This window comes from Homo sapiens, chromosome 13 (genome assembly GCF_000001405.40).
Source record: "Homo sapiens chromosome 13, GRCh38.p14 Primary Assembly".
Lineage (NCBI taxonomy): Eukaryota > Metazoa > Chordata > Mammalia > Primates > Hominidae > Homo > Homo sapiens.
Window position 1 is genome coordinate 21,153,595 of NC_000013.11, and position 25,843 is coordinate 21,179,437.

General features: G+C 40.9%; 2 protein-coding genes across 6 annotated transcripts, besides 3 other annotated features; one reads left to right on the plus strand and one right to left on the minus strand.

The window, feature by feature from the left end:
• Nucleotides 1-22,958, minus strand: SKA3 (spindle and kinetochore associated complex subunit 3). 4 transcript variants are annotated; one of them, NM_145061.6, is made up of 9 exons: nt 22,781-22,958; nt 19,026-19,087; nt 18,745-18,910; nt 14,394-14,805; nt 8,196-8,281; nt 6,308-6,393; nt 4,328-4,531; nt 2,099-2,217; nt 1-1,556 (listed from the first exon to the last, which is right to left on the minus strand). In NM_145061.6, coding segments are annotated over exons 1-9 (1,239 nt in total). In that variant the 5' UTR covers nt 22,884-22,958; the 3' UTR covers nt 1-1,555. The 4 variants fall into 4 exon arrangements, with proteins under 4 accessions (NP_659498.4, XP_011533296.1, XP_005266345.1 ...); XM_011534994.3 differs by having other exon boundaries at nt 22,754-22,784; XM_005266288.5 differs by lacking the exon at nt 19,026-19,087.
• Nucleotides 21,031-21,753: an enhancer, noted in NCBI's record as "OCT4-NANOG-H3K27ac-H3K4me1 hESC enhancer chr13:21748764-21749486 (GRCh37/hg19 assembly coordinates)". NCBI's record gives its function as "activates a minimal SCP1, AML or CMV promoter by ChIP-STARR-seq in naive H9 embryonic stem cells {active_cell/tissue: H9 hESC(naive)}" and the evidence as "EXISTENCE:reporter gene assay evidence [ECO:0000049][PMID:30033119]".
• Nucleotides 22,476-23,198: an enhancer, noted in NCBI's record as "NANOG-H3K27ac-H3K4me1 hESC enhancer chr13:21750209-21750931 (GRCh37/hg19 assembly coordinates)". NCBI's record gives its function as "activates a minimal SCP1, AML or CMV promoter by ChIP-STARR-seq in naive H9 embryonic stem cells {active_cell/tissue: H9 hESC(naive)}" and the evidence as "EXISTENCE:reporter gene assay evidence [ECO:0000049][PMID:30033119]".
• On the plus strand, nt 23,064-25,490 carry MRPL57 (mitochondrial ribosomal protein L57). Of its 2 annotated transcripts, none has more exons than NM_024026.5 (2): nt 23,064-23,123; nt 23,318-25,490. In NM_024026.5, exon 2 carries the CDS (start codon nt 23,323-23,325, stop codon nt 23,629-23,631), a length of 309 nt encoding a protein of 102 aa, NP_076931.1. In that variant the 5' UTR covers nt 23,064-23,123; nt 23,318-23,322; the 3' UTR covers nt 23,632-25,490. The 2 variants fall into 2 exon arrangements, with proteins under 2 accessions (NP_076931.1, XP_016876229.1); XM_017020740.3 differs by having other exon boundaries at nt 23,268-23,918.
• Nucleotides 23,214-23,533: an enhancer, noted in NCBI's record as "active region_7433". NCBI's record gives its function as "activates an Ori minimal core promoter by ATAC-STARR-seq in GM12878 lymphoblastoid cells {active_cell/tissue: GM12878}" and the evidence as "EXISTENCE:reporter gene assay evidence [ECO:0000049][PMID:35858748]".
• Nucleotides 25,491-25,843: the final 353 nt, after the last annotated feature.

A 25,843-nucleotide genomic window follows, 5' to 3' on the forward strand; every position in this document is an offset into this window, starting at 1 on the left:
TCAGTTCTCAGTCCTCTTTTTATTTGAATTCTCAGCAATATTCACAGAATCATCACTCTCCTTGAAATACTTTCTTCCTACTTCACTGGCCTCAGTCTCCTTTGCTAGATTACTCTGCCCCTTTCCATCCTCTAAAGTTGGGAGAACTCCAGGATTTGGTCCTTGGTACACTTTGAATATATTCCCTCCCTAAGCAGCTCATCCGGTTCTGTGGATTTATATACACACGGTACACAGTGAAAGGCTGGTATACATTTCAGAGTCAATGGCATACATAAGGCTGACTACAGCTTTACTTTGAAAAACAAAACTAAGTATCTTAACATTTTATTTTACATTATATTTAATAAAAATAATACTTACAACTACCCAGTAACTCCTAGAACAAGGACAAACTCAAGTTTTGTTTTGGTGACAGTTTTCTGACAAGATTAATAGAGCACAATGGACAGGTCCCCCATTTGACTTTCAAGGAACAATCATAAAACAGGGTAATCTTTACTGCATCAAATTCCCAAAACTACGCCTTTGAAGTAAGTTGACATAATACTTGTTGTTTCTTCTCAAATTTTTAATGGTTCTCCACAGTATGCTAGGTCCTTATTTTCTCATTGGCTGTAATTTGACAAGTTCTCCAAAAGCACTATCATGAACTTAATTAGATAATACTTTCCAGCTGTACTTAAATCAGAAGGATCGTAGGCCTGATAAGCAGGTCAACCTGAAGCTACCAGGCAGCTCTGGAGGCTCCCGTGGCCATAGCTAACAGTGCACAGGAGGGCCCCTGGCCCAGGATGAGCCCTCAGAACCTTTTAGAGAGAGTGAAATTCAGGGTCTACTGGGTGTCCAAGCTGCAGAGTGGAGCGTGAGAGGTCAGCTGCCATGTGATAGAAAGAGCTGACATAAGAGAAAAGACCCCCACACAGTGAAAAGCTGGAAGAGAAACAAAACTCTCAACCTGACAGCAGAGTTCCTGGTTCCAACTGTTGAGACCTGTCTCTACCTCCAATGGTCACAGTATATAGTTACCCAGGCCTGGAAATCTCCCTCTTTTCCTAATTAGTTTAACTGGTGTTCCTGTTGTTTGCAAACAGCAACTGCATCTTCAGACAGCACTGAGCAAGTAAAAGGTGTGGGACGGTCCTGAAAGGAGATGATGGGAAGGCAGAGCTGGCTGGCAGCAATGTCTCTCTGGCCAGAAGGTCAGGGGCGGCCTCATCTGAGTAGCAAACACCTTTATATTTTTGAAATTACTTGTCCTACTTCCTGGTACTACTTAAACCATTCTGTTGATTAAGCTGGGTAATTTAGTATCAATGAAACACTAATAATCCTTAAAGAGTGAATGACTGGGCTACATGTCAACAAGACTAAGGTTAAACCTTATTGAAACTTCATAAAAAGCATATTATGATGTTAATGTTCATGTTTGTCTTTAAAATGGGTCAACGTTTAAAGGGGGACAGAGGCAGGGCAATGTGAATGTTAAAATCGGTCCAGCTCGGCTTTCATCTCATTTTGTTCAGTTTCTGTGTTGGATAGATCCACTGGAATTTCTGCAACAGATACAAATAACAAATATCAATTTAATAAAATTAAAAGCCATTAAGACAAATGACACAATACTGTGGCTATATATTTTACACTTATAAAATAATTGAGGATAGATTCCCACTGATATCATTAAACTGGATAATTCGGGAATCTGAGATTCAGGGATCACAAGTTCTATATCAAAAGATAGAGACAGGCTATTAACTTAAGCTGGCAAATGTCAATTAAAAACAAAATTTTTACCAATATTCAAATGTTAATTTTTTTTTTTTTTTTTTAGATGGAGTCTCGCTCTGTTGCCAGGCTGGAGTGCAGTGGCATGATCTTGGCTCACTGCAACCTCCGCCTCCCAGATTCAAGCGATTCTCCTGCCTCAGCCTCCTGAGTAGCTGGGACTACAGGTGTGCACCACCACACCTGGCTAATTTTTGTATTTTTAGTAGAGACGAGGTTTCACCATGTTGGTCAGGATGGTCAAATGTTAATTTTTAAATGTCCTCCTCAAATAACACATGAACTTTCTTTACAAAGGTAACATACTCACCAGTTTTCTTTGTTGCTGACATCTCGGATGTTCTGTCCATGTTTAAGGAACCTTTTACTGGGTGGCACTGCTTTAATTGCTATTGGAGTAGCTAGGTTTGAGTTGTATTTTGATAAAAGCTAAAAAAAAAAAAGGAAATTCCTTTTTATCGAGCCATATGAATAATATAACCTAAATTTGGAAGAAGTTACAAAATGTTCAATAAAAGCTATGGGGCGGGCATGGTGGCTCACGCCTGCAGTTCCAGCACTTTGGGAGGCCAAGGCAGGTGGATCACTTGAGGTCAGGAGTTTGAGACCAGGCTGGACAACAGGTAAAACCTCGTCTCTACTAAACATACAAAAACTAGCTAGGAGTGGTGGCACACACCTGTAATCCCAGCTACTCAGGAGGCTGAGGCCCAAGAATTACTTGAACCCCAGAGGCGGAGGTTGCAGTGAGCTGAGATCATGTCACTGCACTCCAGCCTAGGAGACAGAGCGAGACTTGGTCTAAAAAAAAAAAAAAAAAAGACATGCTAACTGCAATGAAAAGATGGAGATATTAGAAATTTAACTTGGATGTGAAGGACTGATTTTTAAAGCTTAAAATGTATTCTGACTGAGGTTAGTGAAAACAAGTAGCAATATATCCCTGAGAGGAAATTAAGCCTTAACAAAGATGTTAGGGAAAATACACAAAGGAAAGATGTAAAACGAATGCTCAAAAGGAAGGTCATCAATTATAAAAATTATGAAAGGAGAACATGAAGTATCAGCTATAATTTTTTCATGCATAAAGGGGTGATATAGTAAATATAAGGCTTCCTTCCTTTTACAAAGAAATAAGGAGAGATGAAGCAACCATAGGGAAGTGGAAACTATATAATTTTCATAAAGACAGAAGATGCTCCTTCTTCATGCAATTTATTATATCTTCCAGAAAAGCAGAAAAGACAGAGAAAAAAGGATAACAAGTACTTTATTGATATCCTAGCATGAGTCAGTTCTAATGGCATCTGAGTATTTTCCGAAGTGATTTATCCTTCTCATGGGTCTCCATAAGTCAGGAAGACTTCTAGAATGGCTATTAAGAATTCCACACGTGGGCCGGGCGCGGTGGCTCACGCCTGTAATCCCAGCACTTTGGGAGGCCGAGGCGGGTGGATCATGAGGTCAGGAGATCGAGACCATCCTGGCTAACAAGGTGAAACCCTGTCTCTACTAAAAATACAAAAAATTAGCCGGGCGCGGTGGCGGGCGCCTGTAGTCCCAGCTACTCGGGAGGCTGAGGCAGGAGAATGGCGTGAACCCGGGAAGCGGAGCTTGCAGTGAGCCGAGATTGCGCCACTGCAGTCCGCAGTCCGACCTGGGCGACAGAGCGAGACTCCGTCTCAAAAAAAAAACAAAAAAAAAGAATTCCACACGTGTAAGTAATAATTGCCAAACACTGTAACTCCTATTAAGGAGGGGGACTGTCAAAGAATCAGACTGGTTATTTAGAATTGGCAGTTGTTATAAGTCATTAGTAGGCCAATGGTAACTGCTGTTAAATACTAAAGAATCAGATACAGTCAGGCATCACTTAACAATAGGGATACATTCTGAGAAATGCATTAGGTGATTTCATCATGTGTGAACATCACAGTACTTACACAAACCTAGATGGTATACCCTACCACACACCTAGGCTATATGGTATAGACTATTGCTCCTAGGCTACAAACCTGTACAGCATGTAACTGTCCTGAATAGTGCAGGCACTTGCTACACAGTGATAAGCACTTGTGTATCTAAACACAGAAAATGTACAGTAAAAATACAGTATCATAATCTTATGACTGCTGTGGCATATGCAGTCCATCATTGACCAAAATGTTATGCAGCACATGACTATATTCTAACATACATCAATCAGTGTTTCTTAAACTGAGGTCCAAGAAGTTTCAAGTTCAAGAAACACTGGTATGTTATTCATGATACCCTGGCTCTGGGAAATTGTAGGGTAAATGACTTTTCTGACTTTGCCAGCAACACTTCTAATGGAACCATGATCGACATGGAAACCACAGTTGAACAAGAATTAGAAAATAAGGTCCTGACAGCTCAGAATTTAGATTCTCTCATCACCAAAATTAGCACACTAGCCCAATGATAAATAAGACAGTTTATATGCAGTTTCAGGTCTTTAAATATTTCATATTGAAAAGAATATCAGCAAAAAAAAAAAAAAATAGCCTGGAAAAATAACCTGGAGAATATCTTCTGGAATTTTAGTTACTTCCGGAGGTGTAGGTGTTCTGAGCAGATTCTCATAAGAAGAAATCGTAGGTGAAGAGGGATCTGTTAAATTCTCAAAGCATGTGTCTGAATTTAAAACCAACGAAGTACGATCTTCAACTTCCAAATCATTTGATGAACTATTTGTTTTTGATAATGGGTAATTTGTGGATACCTATTGAATAAAAATAGACCATTAAATTATGGTAATATAACATAATGTAGTAAATAAAAATAGTTAATCATTTGTTACTTCTATTGGGGTCTCTAATAGGCTCCCATATGCCCCATCTTCTCTGACCAAGTTCTAAACAAAATCAAGAACAAATGGCATACAGAGGACAAAATATCATCTCATTACTAATAAAGGCTGAGTTAAAGCTTAATGTCAGCAAGGTGTGGTGGCTCATGCCTGTAATCCCAGCACTTTGGGAGGCCGAGGTGGGCCGATCATGAGGTCAGGAGTTTGAGACCAGCTTCGCCAACATGGTGAAACCCCATCTCTACTAAAAATACAAAAAATTAGCCAGGTGTGGTGGCGCCTGCCTGTAATCCCAGCTACTCAGGAGACTGAGGCAGGAGAATTGCTTGAACCCAGAGGCGGAGGTTGCAGTGAGCCAAGATCGCGCCACTGCACTCCAGCCTGGGTGACAGAGTGAGACTCCGTCACAAACAAAACAAAACAAAACAAAAACCAAAAAAACGCTTAATGTCATAACTATATAGAATGAACCAAAGATTTAGATGGATACTCCCACCCCATCTCAGGCAACAGTGAGTGTAGTCAGACGAAAATCACAGCATGAACAAATGTTACCACATGCACTCCCAAAAGGAAGAAAGCAGATCAGAGGTAAGTTTAGTATGCAGATTATTCATGCTAAATCAGCCAATTGGGTAAGTCGCTTCATCTCTCTCAGGTCAGAGTTAAGAGAGAGAGACGATAGAGTGTCACCTCAGTAGGGTACCTTCCACGTGAACATAAGGAGTAGATGAATTGTAAATGGCAGGTACTAACAGGCAGATAACCTGATACTTCAACTGATAACACAGCCCTGTGTTCATCCATAGCTGCACTGTCCAATATAGTAGCCACAGCCACATGGGGCTCTTTAAATTTTAAGCTAATTAAAATTAAATAAAATTTAAAGAAGTAAATATTAGTTCTTCAGATATACTAGCCACATTTTCAGTGCTCAATAACGTGATTAGAGGCTACCATATTGGACAGTGCAGACTATAAAACATTTCCATCATTATAGAAAATTCTATTGGATACCCTAATACAGTATTGGTTTTCTATAGCATTGGTTAAGTGACCATACTGACTAAAGAGGGATAAGGTTTTGATTTGATGAAATCTGATTAAATTTATTTGTTGGTAAAATTTAGGGGAAAAAAGCACAAAATCACCCATAATTTATCACCCAGAGATAACTACACTGCTGTTTCTATCCACTTTTTCCTTAAAATATGTGTATATATATGTGTGTGTGTACATACACACACATCATTTTCCATATGATTAATATTTCTTGAAAACATTCTTTTTATATGCTCTCATCTGTTTTTCAAAACATGATAGTATATGTAACACCTGATCTTATGGATATGCCTTGCTGTGTTTTAGTTCTTTGATATCATTCGATATTTATACTGTTTCCCATGTTTTGTGCTTATAAATAATGCTGTTCCTTACTCTATAACTTGTTTAAATCTTTGTCCCAATTTGCCTTAGAAAAAATTCAGAGATATGGTTTAAAGGTATGAAAAATATTTTTTAGAGCAATTGATTTATGCTGCCAAGCTACCCTCCAGAAATGCACTGTAAATACATCCCTAAAAGCTGGATTCATCCATGTCTTCTAAACAGACTCTTTGAGCCTGCAAGCAGTAGTGTATTTGAGTCTTTAGGAGAAAGACTGTGGCTTTCAATTTTATGGAAAGTTACCAAAGCTATGCTGTTCTTTGTAGATGGAATTTTCAAACCAGGAGTACAGAATGTAGGTACCAAAGGAGAGTTGGTATATTCGGCATCTAAAAGACACATAAAATGGTCATTAAAAAACTATAACTATAGTATGCTTAACTGGACAGGAAGAAAATCTCATATTTACATATGTAATTATCATTAGCACTACTAAAATTCAGCAAGGATGCAAGAGTAATACACAATAACAAATAGTTGTGTTGTAATATATATTAAACATAAAAGCAACAAACTATTACACATATAATTTGAAAAAAGATACTTTTCACAGTAGCAAGAAAGACAAGATACCTACAAATATATCTATTAAAAATGGTGTAAAACCTTTATGAAGAAAATTATCAAACTTCTGACAAAGGAGGAGGAAGACGGAGAACAGGTCACTTGTCTTCCAAGATGGCAGGACTTACTCCAAAGGTACAGTAGTTAAAAACAGTGTAACATTAACCAGGGATGGAAAAATTAAAGATAAGAACAAGAGAGACCCATGCATATATAGACAAGAGAGACCCATGCATATATAGACAATTGCTATCTAGAACACATAGTATCATCGAGGCAACCTTAAAAAACAACAAAGAGAAAAGGTAAATATGTTAGAAAAACAATCTGACTGGCAAAATATCTGAAGTCTAAAAATCATCAAGTACTGGAAAAGACGGAGAAACAGGAACTCAATACCACTAGTGAGAAGATAAATCTTAACAGCTACTCTTAGCTGACTATTCAGCATTTTCTAGAATAAGTAAAAATGTGCATGCCCTTTGACCTGGCAATTCTACTCCTAGATATGAGAAACACGCATATGCACAAGGGAAAATTTCCTTAAGGCACTGCCTATAATAATAAAAAATGAAAACACTACCTCCTAATCAGCAAATGAATATGGCTCATATATACAGTAGAATACTATTTATCAATTAAAAAGGATGAAGTGCTTTGGGAGGCCAAGGTGGGCAGATCGCTTGAGTCCAGGAGTTTGAGGCCAGCATTGGCAACATGGTGAAACCCCTCTACCAAAAAAATACAAACATTAGCTGGGCATGGTGGTGTAAGCCTGTAGTCCCTGCTACGTGGGGGCTGAGGTGGGAGGACTGGTTGAGCCCAAGAGGCGGAGGTTGCAATGAGTTGTCTACAGTTGTGACCAGCCTGGGCAACATGGCGAAACCCCATCTATACAAAAAATACAAAAATTAGCTGGACGTCGTGGTGTGTGCCTATAGTCTCGGATACTTGAGAGGATTGCTTGAGCCTGGGAAGTTGAGGCTGCAGTGAGCCAAGATCGTGCCACTACACTCCAGTCTGGGCAACAGAGTGAGACCCTGTCTCAAAGAAAACAAAACAAAAAAATCATAAAACTCTAGGATTTTTTTATCTTGCTTTTTCATGAACACCAATGTTTTCATGTTTGCTGGGACAAATATGAAAACACTGTATGAAAATTTTCTTTAAGTTACTGAGCTATTTAAAAGAAACCAAAATTTAAATTGGCAGCTGATGTATTCCGTGCGTGGTTTATATAAGATAATGTACAACTCTAATCAATAGGTTAAAAGAAAAAGTACTAAGGCTCTACATCAAAATATTGGTGAATATGTAAGTTTCAAATTAAAATGTTAATAACAAGCTGACAGATATTGAACATAATCAAGAGTATTAAAAACATACCAGAAAATTTTCTTTCTCTTGGACAAAATCATGCTGAATGAAATGGTACTTAATGTAATCCAATGTTAGGAATTAAACAGATGAAGAAAACTATTAGAATGTCTAAGATGATGAAATCAATTTTGTTCAAAGATAGTTTGGGAAAAATGTTCCTGAGAAGTAACTTGATTCTTATACTTACCACTTTTTTCCAACTGCTGGATGATGGGGCTGGGAGTGGCAAAAACATTATCATTGAGCCTGGATTCTGTATCTATGGCCTCCTCACTGGTGTGATTCATAGGGAAATTACAAGGTTAAAAAAGTTAACATTCAATCTCTGGGAAAAAAATTTAACCTTACTAAATATCAAGTTTGGACAAACATTCAGTTATGCTTTATGGTACAGAAGTCCCATGAAACAAATTCTTTTCTTTTTTCTAATATATATCCATGGTACAAAAAGGTTAAGGACCACTAAGTTCAACTTATTAGTTCAAAAAGGGAACTATGTAACTCCTGGGACTTCAAAATCCTAAAGTGGAATTTTATAACCAGTGTACACATATAGATTAAAAACTTGCCATTTTTTTAAGACTAAAATGACTGATCCTGTCATATGATTATCATTGTCCTAGCCAGTTACACAGATGTCTGTAAAATAGTTATAAAGAGAATATCACTGAATACAAGATAGTTCAGGATTGATTTTCACTTACAAGTTTCCAGTTTTGAATTTAAACATAATGACCCATGCTGTCTTTAACATCTTGTGTAAACATTTTTTTTTTTTTTCTGAGACATGGTCTTGCTCTGCCACCAGGCTGAAGTGCAGTGGTGCTATCTCGGCTCATTGCAACCTCCACCTCCCAGGTTCAAGTGATTCTCCCACCTAAGCCTCCCGAGTAGCTGGGACTACAGGCATACACCACTGCGCCTGGCTAATGTTTGTATTTTTTTGGTAGAGACAGGGTTTCACCATGTTGGCCAGGCTGGTCTCGAACTCCTGACCTCAGGTGATCCACCCACCTTGACCTCCCAAAGTGCTGGGATTACAGGTGTGGATTACAGGTGTGAGCCACTACACCTGGTCATTGTGTAAAACATTTTTTTAAAAGTGTGTATACAGTATGGCACATATACAAAAGAATATATATGTTGTACAAAAGTTCTAAAAATAAAAGGGCTGGGCATAGTGGCTTATGCCTGTTGCAGGGCCAAAGTGGGAGGATCTCTTCAGGCTATGAGTTGGAGATCAGGCTGCGCAACATAGCAAGACCCCATCTCTACAAAAAATAAAAAAAAATAAAATTAGCTGGGAGTTGCGGCACATACCTGTAGCCTCAGCTACGCAGCAGGCTGAGGTGGAAGAACCACTCGAACCCAGTTCATAGCTGCAGTGAGCTATCATCCTGCCACTGCACTCTAGCCTGGGTGGTGGGAATGTTTCATGGAAAGAGTTGATTTGTAAATGTCTAAAACCTTTTACCCAGTCATTTTACCTCTAAGAAAACTCAACAAACATTTTGGCACAGTAGTATTTATCACAGCTTATTTATAATAGGGGAAAATTGGAAAGAACCAAAATATGACAGTGAGACCCTGTCTCTAAAAATAAAAAGAAAGAAAGAAAGAAAGAAAGAATACTACTAGTACCTGTGTAGTCCTCTATGGAAGCTTCCCAACTTGGTACCCATCTCTGCCCTACAGAGGGAAATTTCTGTCTAGATTTGCTTGGTACTTTAACTACTTGTGTACTCTTAATATAATTTTTGTGCTTTTGAACTTTTGAACTATAAATGAAATAATAGTGTTATATATATAACACTATATGCACACTTTGTTTTCCTTGAATTTGTTCATTTAAGTAAAATTTCATAAAGGCTTTTATATACACTGACAATTTTCCCTAAGAAAGATTCACCAGTGGCCACCAGCATTATAAAAGCATTTTCTTATGTCTTATCAACACTGAATATAACCTGTCTTTTTTGGTATTCTCTCTCTTAACATTAATAAGCCTAGTTAAAACTTGGAAATAAAAACATCTGGATATGTTTTAGCCAAATATGCATCTGGATAGTTGAAAAATGACATCTCATTTTTTTATTTGAATTTCCTTCATTACCTGCAAGGCTAAAAGTGTTCATATGCTTATTGGTCAATTGTATTTCTTCTGGGGTTTTTTTGTTTTGAGATGGAGTCTCATTGTGTCACCTAAGCTGGAGTGCAGTGGCACGATCTCAGCTCACTGCAACCTCCATCTCCTGGGTTCAAACAATTCTTCTCTATGAGCCTAACGAGTAGCTGGGACTACAGGCGCCCGTCACCACGCCCGGCTAATTTGTGTATTTTTAGTAGAGCCAGGGTTTCACCATGTTGGCTAGGCTGGTCTCGAACTCCTGACCTCAAGTGATCCACCCACCTTGGCCTCCCAAAGTGTTTGGATTACAGGCATGAGCCACCACGCCCGGCCTCTTCTTTTGTTAATTCATGTCTTTGCTTGTTTTAAAAATTGGGATGTCTGTCTTTCACTAATTACTGCATATGGGTTTTTAAAACCTGTTATGTATCTATATAACATATATATGCACATATATTTATCATGTTATAACACTTTTCCTGCTTCGTCATTGGTCAAATATTTTATGATACAGTGGTTTAAAGTTTGTATGTGATTAAATCTATCCATATTCTTTAGTATGATTTCTAGCTTTGATGTCATGCCATAATTTATCTACTTTCTCCTGTTAGTTATTTTGGTTCTTTCCAATTCTCCCCATTTAAAATAAGGCTGTAATAAACACCACTGTGCCAAAATGTTTGTTAAGTTTTCGTAGAGGTAAAATAGTCATTTACCTAGGTAAAAGGTTTTAAACAGTTAAGAATCAACTCTTTCCATGATACATTCCTGACAATGATATATGAACACACGTTTCATTGTACTCTTCTAACAGTTAAAACAAATATGCTTTGTACTATTTTGATAGACAAAACTGTTTTTAAAATATTTATTAGTCGTATCTATTCCTGTCCATTGCCTAGGCTGCTTTTGGTGTTAGTGGTTTCTTATTAGTATGTGTGTAACAGCCCTCAGTGCAATTATTTTCTTGGTTTATTTTTTGCCCTTTATATGCTTCATGTTCCAGTCTATTTATTTTATTTTTATTTTTTTAGAGGCGGGATCTAGCTATGTTGCGCAGGCTGGTTTCAAACTCCTGGGTTCATGTGATTCTCCCAGCTCAGCCTCCCAAGCAGGTGGAACTAAGGCATGAATCACCATGCCTGACTCATGTTCCCTTCCATATTTCTGAATAGAATAAACAAATATCGTTAAGATGTCTAATCATGTCAATTAATTTACAAGTTTCTTGCAATTACAAACATAATGGTAATTGCAGTATACGCTTTCACTGTTTAAACAGATAACTTATCTATATTTTCTTTTATTTTTTAAATAATTTATCTAAATATTTATCTTTTTGATCTATCTATATTTTATGTTGACTTGAGGCAGAGATGACTTGATTTTTTTTCCAGTTAACTAATTGTTCCAGTATAACTTACTGAATCATCTTTACTTCAAAAATACCTTCAGGATCACTTGAGGCCAGGACTTAGAGACTAGCCTGGGTAACACAGTGAGACCCTGTCTTTACAGAAAGTTAAAAAAAAAAAAAAATTAGGCAGGCATGGTGGTCCACACCTGTAGTCCCACCTACTCCTTGGGAAGCTGAGGCAGGAGGACTGCTTGAGTCTAGGAAGTCGAAGCTGCAGTGAGCTATGATGATGCCTCTGCACTCCAACCTGGGTGACAGACTAAGAACCTGTCTCTAAAAATAAATAAATAAATAAATAAATACATAAAGAAAGAAATAGTTGCCCTGTGTAACTATATAAAATATATATCTTCTTTCAGCCTCTTACTTGAATTTTATTATTTCTATACGTTTTTCATGTGATTTTCTTGAGTTGCCTAGGTACAAAATGGCCTAGAAGTGCAACACAGAAATATTTCTTATTTCCTATCTCATTACACTGGCCAGAACATCAAGAATGATGTTAGGCTGGGCGTGGTAGCTCACACCTGTAATCCCAGCACTCTGGGAGGCTGAGACAGGTGGATTACTTGAGCCCAGGAGTTCAAGAGCAGTCTGGGCAACGTGGCAAAACCCCATCTCTACTAAAAATAGAAAAATTAGCCAGGCGTGGTGGCTCATGCCTGCAGTCCCAGCTACTCAGGTGGCTGAGGCTCGAGAATCACTTAAACTCAGGAGGCAGAGGTTGCAGTGAGCTGAGATTGCCCCAGTGCACTCCAGCCTGGGAACAGAGCAAGACCTTGTCTCAAAACAATAACATGACATGACATAACATTAGAAAGGATTCCTCCAGAACACCATCTATGCTCAGAGCTTTTTGGAGCTTGTTATCTGATAACTTTTTTTTTTTTGGAGAGTTTTGCTCTTGTTATCTAGGCTGGAGTGCAGTGGCGTGATCTCAGCTTACTGCAACCTCTGCCTCCTGGGTTCAAGCAATTCTCCTGCTTCAGCCTTCCAAGTAGCTGGGATTATAGGCGCCCTCCACCAAACCCAGCTAGTTTTTCATATTTTTAGTAGAGAGGGTTTCATCCTGTTGGCCAGGCTGGTCTTGAACTCCTAATGTCAAGCGATCCACTGTGCCTGGCCTGTTATCTGATAACTTTTCAGTTTTCTTCTCTGATTACTGGTCTACCCAGGTTTTCTACTTCAAGTCAATTTTTATCATTTTGTATTATTTTCTAAAACTTTAATATATCTGAAATTTTCAAATTTCCCAATACTATAACCTACGATATTTTCTGATAGCTTAGAAAAATAAAAACATAGGCCAGGCACAGTGGCTCACGCCTGTAAACCCAGCACTTTGGGAGGCCGAGGCAGGTGGATCACTTGAGGCCAGGAGTTCAAGACCAGCCTGGCCACCATGGTGAAACCCTGTCTCTACTAAAAATACAAAAATTAGCCAAATGTAGTGGTGTGTGCCTGCAATTCCAGCTACTTAGGTGGCTGAGGCACGAGAATCACTTGAACCCAGTGGTGGAGGTTGCAGTGAGCTGAGATCGAGCCATTGCACTCCAGCCTGGGGGATAGAACAAGACCATCTGAAAAACAAAACAAAACAAACAAACAAAACACACAATATAGTCCTTAGTTCTTAATGCTCTTATTTGTATTTATGTTTAGATAAGGACCAGTTCTTAGGTTTATCAATTCTACTCTTTTAAAAATCTTTTGGATTAAAATTTTATCTTTAGTGTTTTTTTCCCCAGAGTTGTGGGGTTTTTTTCTTTGACAGGAATGTTTGTTATCCTTCTTTAATAGTAACAGTTTTTAATGATAAGTATTTATCTATAGACATTGCTTGGCTACTTTGATAAGTGGTATTTTCATTGTAACTCTTACGGTTTTAATCACCATTTCCATGCTAATGACTCCCAAATCTAGTTTAGCACTGAATTCTTCACTGAGCTTTAAACTGATATTAGAATGCCTAAGCATGAAGAGGCACTAACAATGTCAAAACCAACATGTAAACACATCACCTATCCCCCCATACTCCAGGTATTCTTTTCTTGTTCTAACATCATCCCAAGCAACAAAACAGAAACTTGGGGTTTATCCTAGATCATCCCCTTTTCCCATGTCTCCATAGCAAATCAATCACAAGTTCTTACTAATTTTACCCCTTTAATCTTATTTCCTCTTCTATCCCTACAAATATCTTTTTTTCAGGCCCTTATCACTTCTATAGTCTCTCACCTGAAGAAACTGACAGCTCACACTTTATTGATAGTATTGGTGATTTGAGAAGATCTCTAATATAAAGTATCTGAAAACCTTACCACTAAAGAACTTATTGGCCGGGCGCGGTGGCTCACGCCTGTAATCCCAGCACTTTGGGAGGCCCAGGCGGGCGGATCATGAGGTCAGGAGATCAGGACCATCCTGGCTAACATGGTGAAACCCCGTCTGTACTAAAAATACAAAAAAATTAGCCAGGCGTGGTGGCTGGCGCCTGTATTCCCAGCTACTCGGGAGGGTGAGGCAGGAGAATGGCGTGAACCCAGGAGGCGGAGTTTGCAGTGAGCTGAGATCGCACCACTGCACTCCAGCCTGGGTGACAGAGCAAGCCTCCGTCTCGAAAAAAAAAAACAAAAAAAAAAACCAAAAAAAAACTTATTGATGTAACCAAACACCATCTGTTCCCCTAAAACCTATTGAAATAAAATAAATAAATAAATATCTGAAAACTTTTTAAAGCAAAAATGTCTGAAACATTTTATTTCTTCTGGAAAAAAAATCAATAAATACAAAAGGTTTAGAAAGCTAGATAAAATATGCCTTTTAACAGAGCTGCTTACCTTTTATTATTCCTCGCATTTTTAAGTCCCATTGTGTAATCTTCATTTAAACACATAGTATATTCAGAGATACCAAAGTGTTCTAATTTAGGAGTTACACACTCAAAATCATCCATTTTTAGTGCACATTTTGGAGTTTTTAGTACTTTTACTAGTGATTGTTTGGTAGGTGGGGTTACAATTACGGGCTCTTCCTTATAGTTGTTCACTGCCTGTGGAGGGTTTGGTAGAACTTGGGATACGATGTACCGCTCAAGTCCAAAATCTGAAAGTTGTGGACTACGTGGAGACTTCTCAGAAATACAACTGCTTGCAACAGGAGGATCAGACAGATCATCTTTCACATCAGTCTTCTGAAAATTTTCACAATTAGACAACTCTGGGTCAGAGTTAATGGCTTCTTGCTCGTGTACTAGGAGGAAAAATCAGAATATTCTGGTCAAACTCAAAATGGAAAATTTCACGTTTACAAAAACAACAGAAAACAGCTTATCTGAAATTTCCCAAATCAGCAAAAGTTCCAATTGTCTAAACATTTTATTTATTTAGTATTTATTGAGACAGGGTCTCGCTCTGCCACCCAGGCTGGAGTACAGAGGTGTGATCACAGCTCACTGCAGCCTCGACCTCCTGGGCTCAAGTGATCGTCCCATCTCAGCCCCTGGGGTAGCTGGGACTACAGGTGTGCCACCATGCTCAGCTAATTTTAAAAATTTTTTTTTGTAGAGTGGGGTCTCATCATGTTGCCCAGGCTGGTGTCAAACTCCTGGGCTCAAATGATCCTCCTGCCTTGGCCCCCCAAAGTGATGGGATTTCAGGCATGAGCCACCACACTCAGCTGAAATGTTATTTCAATTGTCCCTTTAATAAAGTTCTGACATGTATCTCTTGTGCACCCATATCTCATTGTGATTATACATTAGAGAAGGAAAGCAAGTTAAAAGTGTTATAAGATGAAAAATTAATATTCACAAATAAAAGTCCAATTTTCTTACATCCTTAATGTGATTTACTAGTTTTTCATAATATTTTTTCTTTCTTTTTTTTTTTTCTTTCTCAGACTTCAGTGAGCATCAGAATATATTTTCTGTAGCTTTGACTGTTGCCCAGGCTGGAGTGCAGTGGCACAATCACAGATAAGTAGGCAACAATGGGGGAAGGCCCCAGGTTGGGGCGAACAATGAACAACTGTTCTGAGAAAAGGCTAATCACAAACAACCTGCAGGCACAACAACTTTGTTCCTTTTTTTTTTTATTTTTATTTTTTGAGTCAGGGTCTCACTTTGTCCCCCAGGCTGGAGTGCAGTGGCAATCTCGGCTCACTGCAGCCTCAACCTCCAAAGCTGGGACTATAGGCACGCACCACCATGCCCAGCTAATTTTTTGTATTTTTGGTAGAGACAGGGTTTCACCATGTTGCCTAGACAGGTCTAGAACTCCTGAGCTCAAGTGATCTGCCCACCTCGGCCTCCCAGCGTGCTGGGATTACCCATGTGAGCCACCATGCCTGGTCACAACAACCTTGTTCTGTACCTAGCCCGCCTCCAGCATGACCCTATAAAACTTCCCTTCAGCCTCTGCCTCTTTGCAGACAGCCCCTTCTCTGCTGTACTGCCCATTGCAACCTTGCAATGTATTTTCATACTTTCGCTAATAAATCTGCCTTTCTCTACCTACAACTGTCTTGGTAAATTCCTTTACCACCTGAGACACTAGCCCCAGCTAGTCACACCCACAACACTGGGCTCAGGTGATTCTCCTACCTCAGCCTCCCAGGCAGCTGGTACTACAGACATGTGCCACCATGCCCAGATAATTTTTTGTACTTTTTGTAGAGATAGGGTTTCGCCATGTTGCCCAGGCTGGTCTTGAACTCCTGGGCTCAAGTGATCCACCTGCCTCAGCCTCCCAAAGTGTTGGGATTACAGGCGTGAGCCACTGCACCTGGCCTGAAACTGTATTTTAAAATTTCATGACAGTATGGAATCAACTGTGTTCCAGATTTAACACAGAGTATGATATTATTTTAGATTCGTAACTTCCAGATGCCTCAGCTAAATAGCAAAGACTGCTATATAAAGATAAGTTTGTATCCTTAGTCTGGAACACCTATATAAAACACCTAGTTGAGAAAAATAATAGGAGAGCACTTCAAAGATATACAGTTTCTCAACCATTAATAGGTTATATACTTTTTTTTTTTTTTTTTTGAGATGGAGTCTTGCTCTGTCACCCAGGCTAGAGTGTGGTGGTGCAATCTCAGCTCACGGCAACCTCCGTCTCCTGGGTTCAAACAATTCTCTTGTATGAGCCTAATGAGTAGCTGGGATTACAGGCACACGCCACCACACCCAGCTAATTTTCGTATTTTTAGTAGAGACAGGGTCTCACCATGTTGGCTAGGCTGGTCTCGAACTCCTGACCTCAGGTGATCTGCCCGCCTTGGCCTCCCAAAGTGCTGGGATTACAGGCATGAGCCACCGTGCCTGGCCGGTTATATACTTTCTTGTTTGTTTGTTTTGTTTTAAAAGTCTTGAGTTTAAATCTCTAAAGTTTTATATTTTGATTTCATAGTTTTTGTTCCTTTGAAGAGCTTCTGAGTCACTGAGTTGTTTTTGGCATTATGCTTTCTGTTACTTTTGAGAACAGAAAGTTCTTGCTACAAGAGTTCCAAAAACCTACTGATGTATTTATCACAGTGCTGTCATTTCAGAGATTAATAAATCATCATTATCACTACTCCATAGGGAGATATTATTATCCCCATCTTATAAGTGAGGAAAAAGCAACTTAGAGAAATTACCCAAGGTCACGCATGTAATAACTGGTGGAGCCCGTATTTGAATCTGTGGCTCTTTCACACCAAAGTCAACTGAATTCTATGATTCCACGTGGGGGGTGGTGGTGGTGGTATGGGTTGTTTGTATGTATGTATGTATGTATGTATTTTATTTATTGAGACAGGGTCTTGCTATGTCATGCAGGTTGGAGTGCAGTGGCGTGATAGTAGCTCACTGTGGCCTTGAACTCGTGGGCTTAAGGGATCCCTTCTGCCTCAGCCTCCTGAATAGCTGTGACTCCAAGTGTGCACCACCATGCCCAGCTAATTTTGTAAAAGAATTTTTTGTAGAGACAGAGTCTCATTATGTAGCCCTGGCCTCAAGTGATCCTCCTGCCTCAATCTCCCACACTGCTGGGGTAACAGGCATGAGCCACTGTGCCCGTCTCACATGGACTGTTTAACTTACCTGCCACACACATCCTCAATACATACTTGTTCAATTTAATAACAGAAATGAAGACACTGGGCCAGGCGCTGTGGCTCACGCCTGTAGTCCCAGCACTTTGGGAGGCCGAGACAGGCGGATCACGAGGTCAGGAGATCGAGACCATTCTGGGTAACACAGTGAAACCCCGTCTCTAATAAAAATACAAAAAAATTAGCTGGGCGTGGTGGCGGGCCCCTGTAGTCCCAACTACTCAGGAGGCTGAGGCAGGAGAATGGCTTGAACCCGGGAGGTAGAGCTTGCAGTGAGCCGAGATCGCGCCACTGCACGACTGAGCGAGACTCCATCTCAAAAAAAAAAAAAAGAAATGAAGACACTGAAGTTAGTCATTCAGAGGTATGGGCATAACAGTAACAGTTAATAATTAATCTTGGGTGACTGACATGCTAGGAACTGCTGTAAGCAACTTTATCTTATTTAATCCTTATACAATCTCATGAGATAGATATACTAAACATTCCCACTTTACAAATGAGAAACTGAGGCACAAGGTTAAGTAACTTGACAAAGATAATAATACAGCTATTAAGTGGTGGAATACGGATTTGAACTCAGGCATTTTGACTCCAAATTCTAAACCACTATGATAGAATGCCCTTCATTAAAATTTTAGAATCAAAAAAGGACTTCGTCAAATTTTATAGCCAATATCTCTTTCTATAGAAGAGAACACTGTGAACAAGAAAAATGAAATAACATGCCTCGAGGTCTCTCAGCTTTTATTGGCAGGGCTAACTAGAAACCACCTATCCCAAGTTTTGAAGATTTATCTTGTAGTTTTTCATTTAAATAGGCCATCTAGCCTAAATGTGCTAAATCTAGCATTGTGCTAGCTTTCATTTGGCATTTTGGAAAGGAGAACAAGGACTGTTTTTATATTACACCCCTGATTAGCACTCCAAAAGCACACCACACAGTGAGAGTTGACTAAATATTTATCAAATAAGCGTCAGATAACAACAGAGCTAGAACTAAAAACCATAGCCAAGGCTACAGTTGTCTTAATCATGCTGCCTTGTTTCTTCAATACTAAAACAAATGCTATAAAATGAAGTTATTCAAACCTGAATTTTTCTTGACACGTGGACTATATCCATACTTCTGGAAATACTCTCTTATTTTCATAATATCCATTGAATTTTTTTCCATTAGTACTTTTGTTGCCTTTATGAAATCAATGCCTTCTTGATTTTCCAATCTTGCTTTATCAAGAAGAATATTAACATCATCCTTTTATGAATAAAGAAAGTACATTTTAATTTCTCTAACTTCTGACTAAATCTATTTAGGATAAAAAAATTACTCGCCACAGAAAAATAATAAATCAATATTGTAGGAGTGATACCTTTAGAGTCTGAACTTCTGAATGAAGGTCATATAAAATTCTCATTGGATAATCTTCAAAGTCTTCAATATGAATATTGAAAGAAAAGAAGTCCAATAAATGTAAGGAAAAGGAGGAAGAAAAAGAATAGTATACAATCATATACCTTATAATGACATTGGTCAATCACAGATCACATATGACAGTGGTACCATAAGATAATACCATATTTTTTACCGTACCTTTTTTATGTTTAGATACACAAATACTTACCATAATGTTACAGTTGCTTACAGTATTCAATGCAGTCGCATGCTATACAGGTTTGTGGCCTAGGAGCGACAGGCTACACCATACAGCCTAGGTATGCAGTAGGTCATATCATCTACGTTTGTGTTACATATGCTCTATGATGTTCGCACAATAACAAAATTGCCTAACGTTGCTCAGAATGTATCCCCATTAAGTAACATGACTGTATAACATACATACTGAAAAGCATACAAATCCTAAGTATATAGTTTAATGAACTTTATAAAATGAGCATACCTGCACAACTGGCCCTCAGCTCAAGAAAAAGGAGAAACAGAGCCTTAGTAGAACTCTAGAAGCCCTCTTATAGTCTCTCCCTTCCCCACAAGGGTAAACTTTAGCCTGATTTCTTTTTCTTTTTTTGAGATGGAGTTTCGCTCTTGTTGCCCAGGCTGGAGTGCAATGGTGCGATCTTGGCTCACTGCAACCTTCACCTCCCGGATTCAAGCGATTCTCCTGTCTCAGTCTCCCAAGTAGCTGGGACTACAGGTGTGCGCCACTACATCTGGCTAGTTTTATATTTTTAATAGAGATGGGGGTTTCACCATGTTGGTGAGGCTGGTCTTGAACTCCTGACCTCAAGTGATCCACCCGCCTCGGCCTCTCAAAGTGTTGGGATTATAGGCGTGAGCCACTGCACCCAGCCACCTTACCCTGATTTCTAACGCCATGAAGTAGTTTTGTCACTTATGAACTTGATTTAATGGACTCAAACAATATGTACTCTTTTGCGACTGGCTTCTTTCACTCAACTGTTACATTCTTCCACGTTCGTAATCTAATCCATGTTCATTATTGTGTAGCATTTCCACTGCGTGATACCATATTTATTTATTCTATTGTTGAAACACTTTGGATTGTGCCTAGTTTGGAATTATTATGAATACTCTTGCTTTGAACTTCCTAGAACATGTCTTTGGTACCAACGTATTCATATTTCTGTATGTTAAGAGACTCAGAAAAAGTGCTGGATTATATGTTATGCATATGCTCAACTTCAGTAAATACTGCTAGTTTTCCAACATGATTTTTACAGTTCACACTCCCACCAGCAGTGCATAAGAAGTGCATTTGTTCCTGCTCATCATCACTGGCCATCAGAGAAATGCAAATCAAAACCACAATGAGATACCATCTCACACCAGTTAGAATGGCAATCATTAAAAAGTCAGGAAAAAACAGGTGCTGGAGAGGATGTGGAGAAATAGGAACACTTTTACACTGTTGGTAGGACTGTAAACTAGTTCAACCATTGTGGAAGACAGTGTGGCAATTCCTCAAGGATCTAGAACTAAAAATACCATTTGACCCAGCCATCCCATCACTGGGTATATACCCAAAGGATTATAAATCATGCTGCTATAAAGACACATGCACACTTATGTTTATTGCCGCACTATTCACAATAGCAAAGACTTGGAACCAACCCAAATGTCCATCAATGATAGACTGGATTAAGAAAATGTGACACATATACACCATGTGCAGCCATAAAAAAGGATAAGTTCATGTCCTATGTAGGGACATGGATGAATCTGGAAACCATCATTCTCAGCAAACTATTGCAAGGACAAAAAACCAAACACCGCATGTTCTCACTCATAGGTGGGAATTGAACAATGAGAACACTTGGACACAGGAAGGGGAACATCACACACTTGGGCCTGTCATGGGGTGAGGGAAGGGGGGAGGGATAGCATTAGGAGATATACCTAATGTAAATGACGAGATAATGGGTACAGCACACCAACATGGTGCATGTATACATATGTAAGAAACCTGCACGTTGTGCACATGTACCCTAGAACTTAAAAGTATAATAATTTTAAAAAAAGAAAAAAAAAGTGCGTACTGCTCCAACAACAACAACAACAACAACAAAAAGCGCATTTGTTCCACATCTTTCCAAACACTTGGTAATTTTCTCTTTTTCGTTTTAGCTATCCTGCTGGGTATGCAACTGTACTACATTGAGATTTAATTTGCATTTCCTTGATGACTAATGAAATTTGCATTTCCTTGATGACTAATGAAATTGATGTCTTTTCACATTCCTGATGACCATCTGAAGATAGTTTTTTCTTTCTTAGATGGAGTCTAAGATCGCTCAGGCTGGAGTGCAGTGGCGCGATCTCGGGTCACTGCAACCTCCGCTTCCAGGGTTCAAGCGATTCTCCCACCTCAGCCTCCGAGTAGCTGGGATTACAGGCGCCCACTACTATGCCCAGCTAATTGTTTTGTATTTTTAGTAGAGACGAGGTTTCACCACGTTGGCCAGGCTGGTCTTGAACTCCTGACCTCGGGCGATCCACCCACCTCGGCCTCCCAAAATGCTGGGATTACAGGCGTGTGCCACCGTGCACGGCCAAATCTTTTTTTCTTTTTGAGACGGACTCTTGCTCTGTCGCCGAGGCTGGAGTGCAGTGGCGGATCTCGGCTCACTGCAAGTTCCGCCTCCCGGGTTCACGCCATTCTCCTACCTCAGCCTCCCGAGTAGCTGGGACTACCGGCGCCCGCCACCACGCCCGGCTAATTTTTTGTATTTTTAGTAGAGACGGGGTTTCACCGTGTTAGCCAGAATGGTCTCGATCTCCTGACCTTGTGATCCGCCCGCCTCAGCCTCCCAAAGTGCTAGGATTACAGGCGTGAGCCACCGCGCCGGGCAGAAATAGACATTTTCAAGTGACTGGAGATCATTCATTATATAATTAAAGTAAAAGTAGTCTGCAGGGTGTAATATTTTAAAGCACATTACAATTATGACATTTATGAAATAATTCCAAAATCTGAACTACTTTTTCAACAATTTAAAAAATCTCTAATAAAAAGGGGAATGGTGAATTTTGCTTTATTTATATACACATATTTTTTTAAACCCCAGCACTGTTGAGTACTAGTGTTTGTGTTGGCAACATGGTTTAGCGGGAAAAACACAGAGGTTTACTGCAACTGTGGACCACGTGAGTGAGAAAAAAGTCACTATATGTGTAAAGTATTGTGTAAAGAACGTTAAATAGCTTGATTCTAAGAGAAACTGTTTAGGTTTACATGGTATTTTACTGACAAGCACACATATTGTATGTGACGAAAGCATATCACGTATAAATTAGTATATGTATTATGAGCTCAATCTGTTAATTTAGGTTCTTATTCTTAAGTGCTGCTGTCTCTGTTTATAACGTAATAGTGCTACTTTCATTATCTCAAGAGAGCCGTGGGGTTGTACATGGGTCTAAAACGGACACGCGACAAGGGTTCCTAGGAATAAACCATAAACAGGCCCGGGAGCTACGCTAACGCCAAACGCCGAGCAGTGAGACGCGCAGCACCCGCCCTGCGCCTCGGTGGCAGCCGTCCACGCCGTCAGTGCCTGGCGGTTCCCGTGGGACATACCGTCCACTCGCCACGCCCCTCCGCCCGCGGCGCACCCCACGCACCGTGCCCTGGCCGCCCGCCTCACGCACCGCTTTCCTCTCCGTCCAGCGCTCGCTGCAGCCGGGCCGTCTCGCAGTCCAGCGTGCTGGCCAGAGACCGCAGCTTCCCGCAGAAGCTCCGGATAGGGTCCATGCTGAGCACAGCGGGGAAGGACTCCAGGCGTACGCAGACCCCACCGCTCAGCTCACAGCCTCCCGCCACTAGTTTGAATCTCGGCGCCGGACGCGTCCTCGGCTCTGCGCAGGCGCAGTCCTCTCTCGCGAGAGCCGAAGTCTCTCGCCGAGGCCCCAGGAGACCCCGCGAGACGGGTGCGCTTACGCCACGGCGTCTGCTGGCGGCCGCGGAGACGCAGAGTCTTGAGCAGCGCGGCAGGTGAGTAGCTGTGCGAATTCGGTTCTCTAGGGAGCTCCTTCTTCGCCTGCTGGCCTTACCTGGGCTCCCCGCTTCTCTGGAGGGGAGGCGGTGCGGGAACTCCCGTAGGCGTGAGCTGGAGCGCGCGCCCGCTGCTCTCTCCAGGTCCGGCCGCGCCAGTTCGCCTCCGCAAAGCCCGTCCCTCTCTTCCGCAGGCACCATGTTCCTGACTGCGCTCCTCTGGCGCGGCCGCATTCCCGGCCGTCAGTGGATCGGGAAGCACCGGCGGCCGCGGTTCGTGTCGTTGCGCGCCAAGCAGAACATGATCCGCCGCCTGGAGATCGAGGCGGAGAACCATTACTGGCTGAGCATGCCCTACATGACCCGGGAGCAGGAGCGCGGCCACGCCGCGGTGCGCAGGAGGGAGGCCTTCGAGGCCATAAAGGCGGCCGCCACTTCCAAGTTCCCCCCGCATAGATTCATTGCGGACCAGCTCGACCATCTCAATGTCACCAAGAAATGGTCCTAATCCTGAGTCGTCACCCTTGGATTTTATGGATCACGGAGCTGACCATCTTTACCTGGTCCTGGAACTGAAAAACTGTAGCTTGTGTGAAAATGAGCCTTTGGACCAGTCTTTATTAAAACAAACAAACATGAGTAGTCTGCATATCGAATATCTAGAGCTCTAAACCCCCAATACTTAAAAGTCTAATTGCTGTCCTGTGGTTTCATTAGTCTGATAGGAAGATAGGGATTTCCTCAGTCACAGATGATATTTTGAAGGAAAGCTGCAATAAAGCCACAATGATTTGAGGTCTTTGCTTAAGTATGAGATACTTGATGGGGGCTTTATCATGCAACATTAGTTTGCTTACCTTAAGAATTGCCCAAAAATGAAAGAAAATATGAGCTTTTCAGTTAAACATACTCCTAAAAACATTTTCCGGGATTTTACTACTAAAATTGGACATTTAAGCGAAGTAAAAGAGGCCGGGTGCGGTGGCTCACGCCTGTAATCCCAACACTTTAGGAGTCCAAGGCGGGCGGATCACTTGAGGTCAGGAGTTCAAGACCAGCTTGGCCAAGGTGATAAAACCCGTCTCTACTAATACAAAAAAAATTAGCTGGGTATGTTGGTGCAGGCTTGCAATCCCAGCTACTTGGGACGCTGAGGTGGGAGGATCGCCTGAACCTCAGAGGCAGAGGTTGCAATGAAGCGGAGGTTGCAGTGAGCCGAGAGCATGCCGCTGCACTCCAGCCTGGGAGACTGCATCTCAAAAAAGAAAAATAAACGAAGTAAAAGATATTTATCAGAGCTGTTACAGGAAGGTGTATTTTTTAGCTATTTTGGCAGGGTGCTGTGGTGCTTGCATGTAGTCCCAGCTATTCAGGAATATTGCTTGAGTCCAGCTTGGGCAACATAGCGAGACCCTATCTAAAATAACAATAATATATGGCCAGGCGGGATGGCTCACGCCTGTAATCCCAGCACTTTGGGAGGCTGAGGCGGGCAGATCACTTGAGGCCAGGAGTTCAAGACCAGCCCAACCAACATGGTGAAACCCTGTCTCCACTGAAAATACATAAAATTAGCCGGGTGCAGTGGTGAGGCCTGTAATCCCAGCTACTCAGGAGGCTGAGGCAGGAGAATCGCTTGCACCCAGGAGGTGGAGGCTGCAGTAAGTCGAGATTGTGTCACTGCACTCTAGCCTGGGCGACAGAAAAAGAAAATTTAGGTGGGGAAAAAAATCAGAATTGCGTCTGTGGGAACAGGAATAAAGGAGAAACCACTATTGACTGGGAAGACACACAAAGAACTTTGTCAAAGTTGTATGGCTGAGGCCCACACGGTGGCTCACTTCTGTAATCCCATCACTTTGGGAGGCTTAGGCAGAAGGATCACCTGAGATCAGGAGTTCCAGACCAGCCTGGCCAACATGGCGAAACCCCATCTCTACTAAAAATACAAAAATTAGCCGGGCGTGGTGGCTTACGCCTGTAATCCCAGCACTTTGGGAGGCCAAGGTGGGCGGATCACAAGGTCAGGAGTTCGAGACCAGCCTGGCCAATATGGTGAAACCCCATCTCTACTAAAAATATAAAAATCAGCAAAAAAAATTTAGCCAGGCTTGGTCATGCATGCCTGTAATCCTAGCTACTGGGAAGGCTGAGGAAGGAGAATTGCTTGAACCCAGGTGGTGGAGGTTGCAGTGAGCTGAGATCGTGCCACTGCTCTCCAGCCTGCATGACGGGAGTGAGACACCATCTCAAAAAATACATATAATAATATAAATAAAAATATCTTTTTTGAAAATAATTTAATATACCATGTAATTTACCAGTTGAAGATGTTCGCTTTCAGAATATAATAAAAATAGTCAAAAACTTTGTGTTTCTAAATACATACTGTATATAGTAGTGTAATACAGTACCCTATACAATATGCATTTGGTGACACAGTATACAGCACTCTATACGGTTGGAACTATTTTATATTTGAGGAAACATTTAAGGAACTGTCCACAGTTACAGCCAGTGATGAGATGGACTTGAGATTGAATTGCTGTATAATACAGAAATCTTGGGTGAGTACGGTCAACAATAATTTATTGAACATTTAAAAATAGCTGAGGCCGGGTGTGGTGGCTCACGCCTGTAATCCCAGCACTTTGGGAGGTCTAGGCAGGCGGATCACGAGGTCGGGAGATCGGGACCATCCTGGCCAATATGGTGAAACC

Coding starts and splice junctions, on each gene's coding strand:
- MRPL57 (NM_024026.5), top strand. CDS start 23,323: ATGTTCCTGACTGCGCTCCTCTGGCGCGGCCGCATTCCCGGCCGTCAG.
- SKA3 (NM_145061.6), bottom strand. CDS start 22,883: ATGGACCCTATCCGGAGCTTCTGCGGGAAGCTGCGGTCTCTGGCCAGC. Junction 8,282..14,393: donor AATGCGAGGAATAATAAAAG/GTAAGCAGCTCT, acceptor GAATCACACCAG/TGAGGAGGCCATAGATACAG. Junction 2,218..4,327: donor TTCCAGAAGATATTCTCCAG/GTTATTTTTCCA, acceptor TTTTTTTTTTAG/CTTTTATCAAAATACAACTC.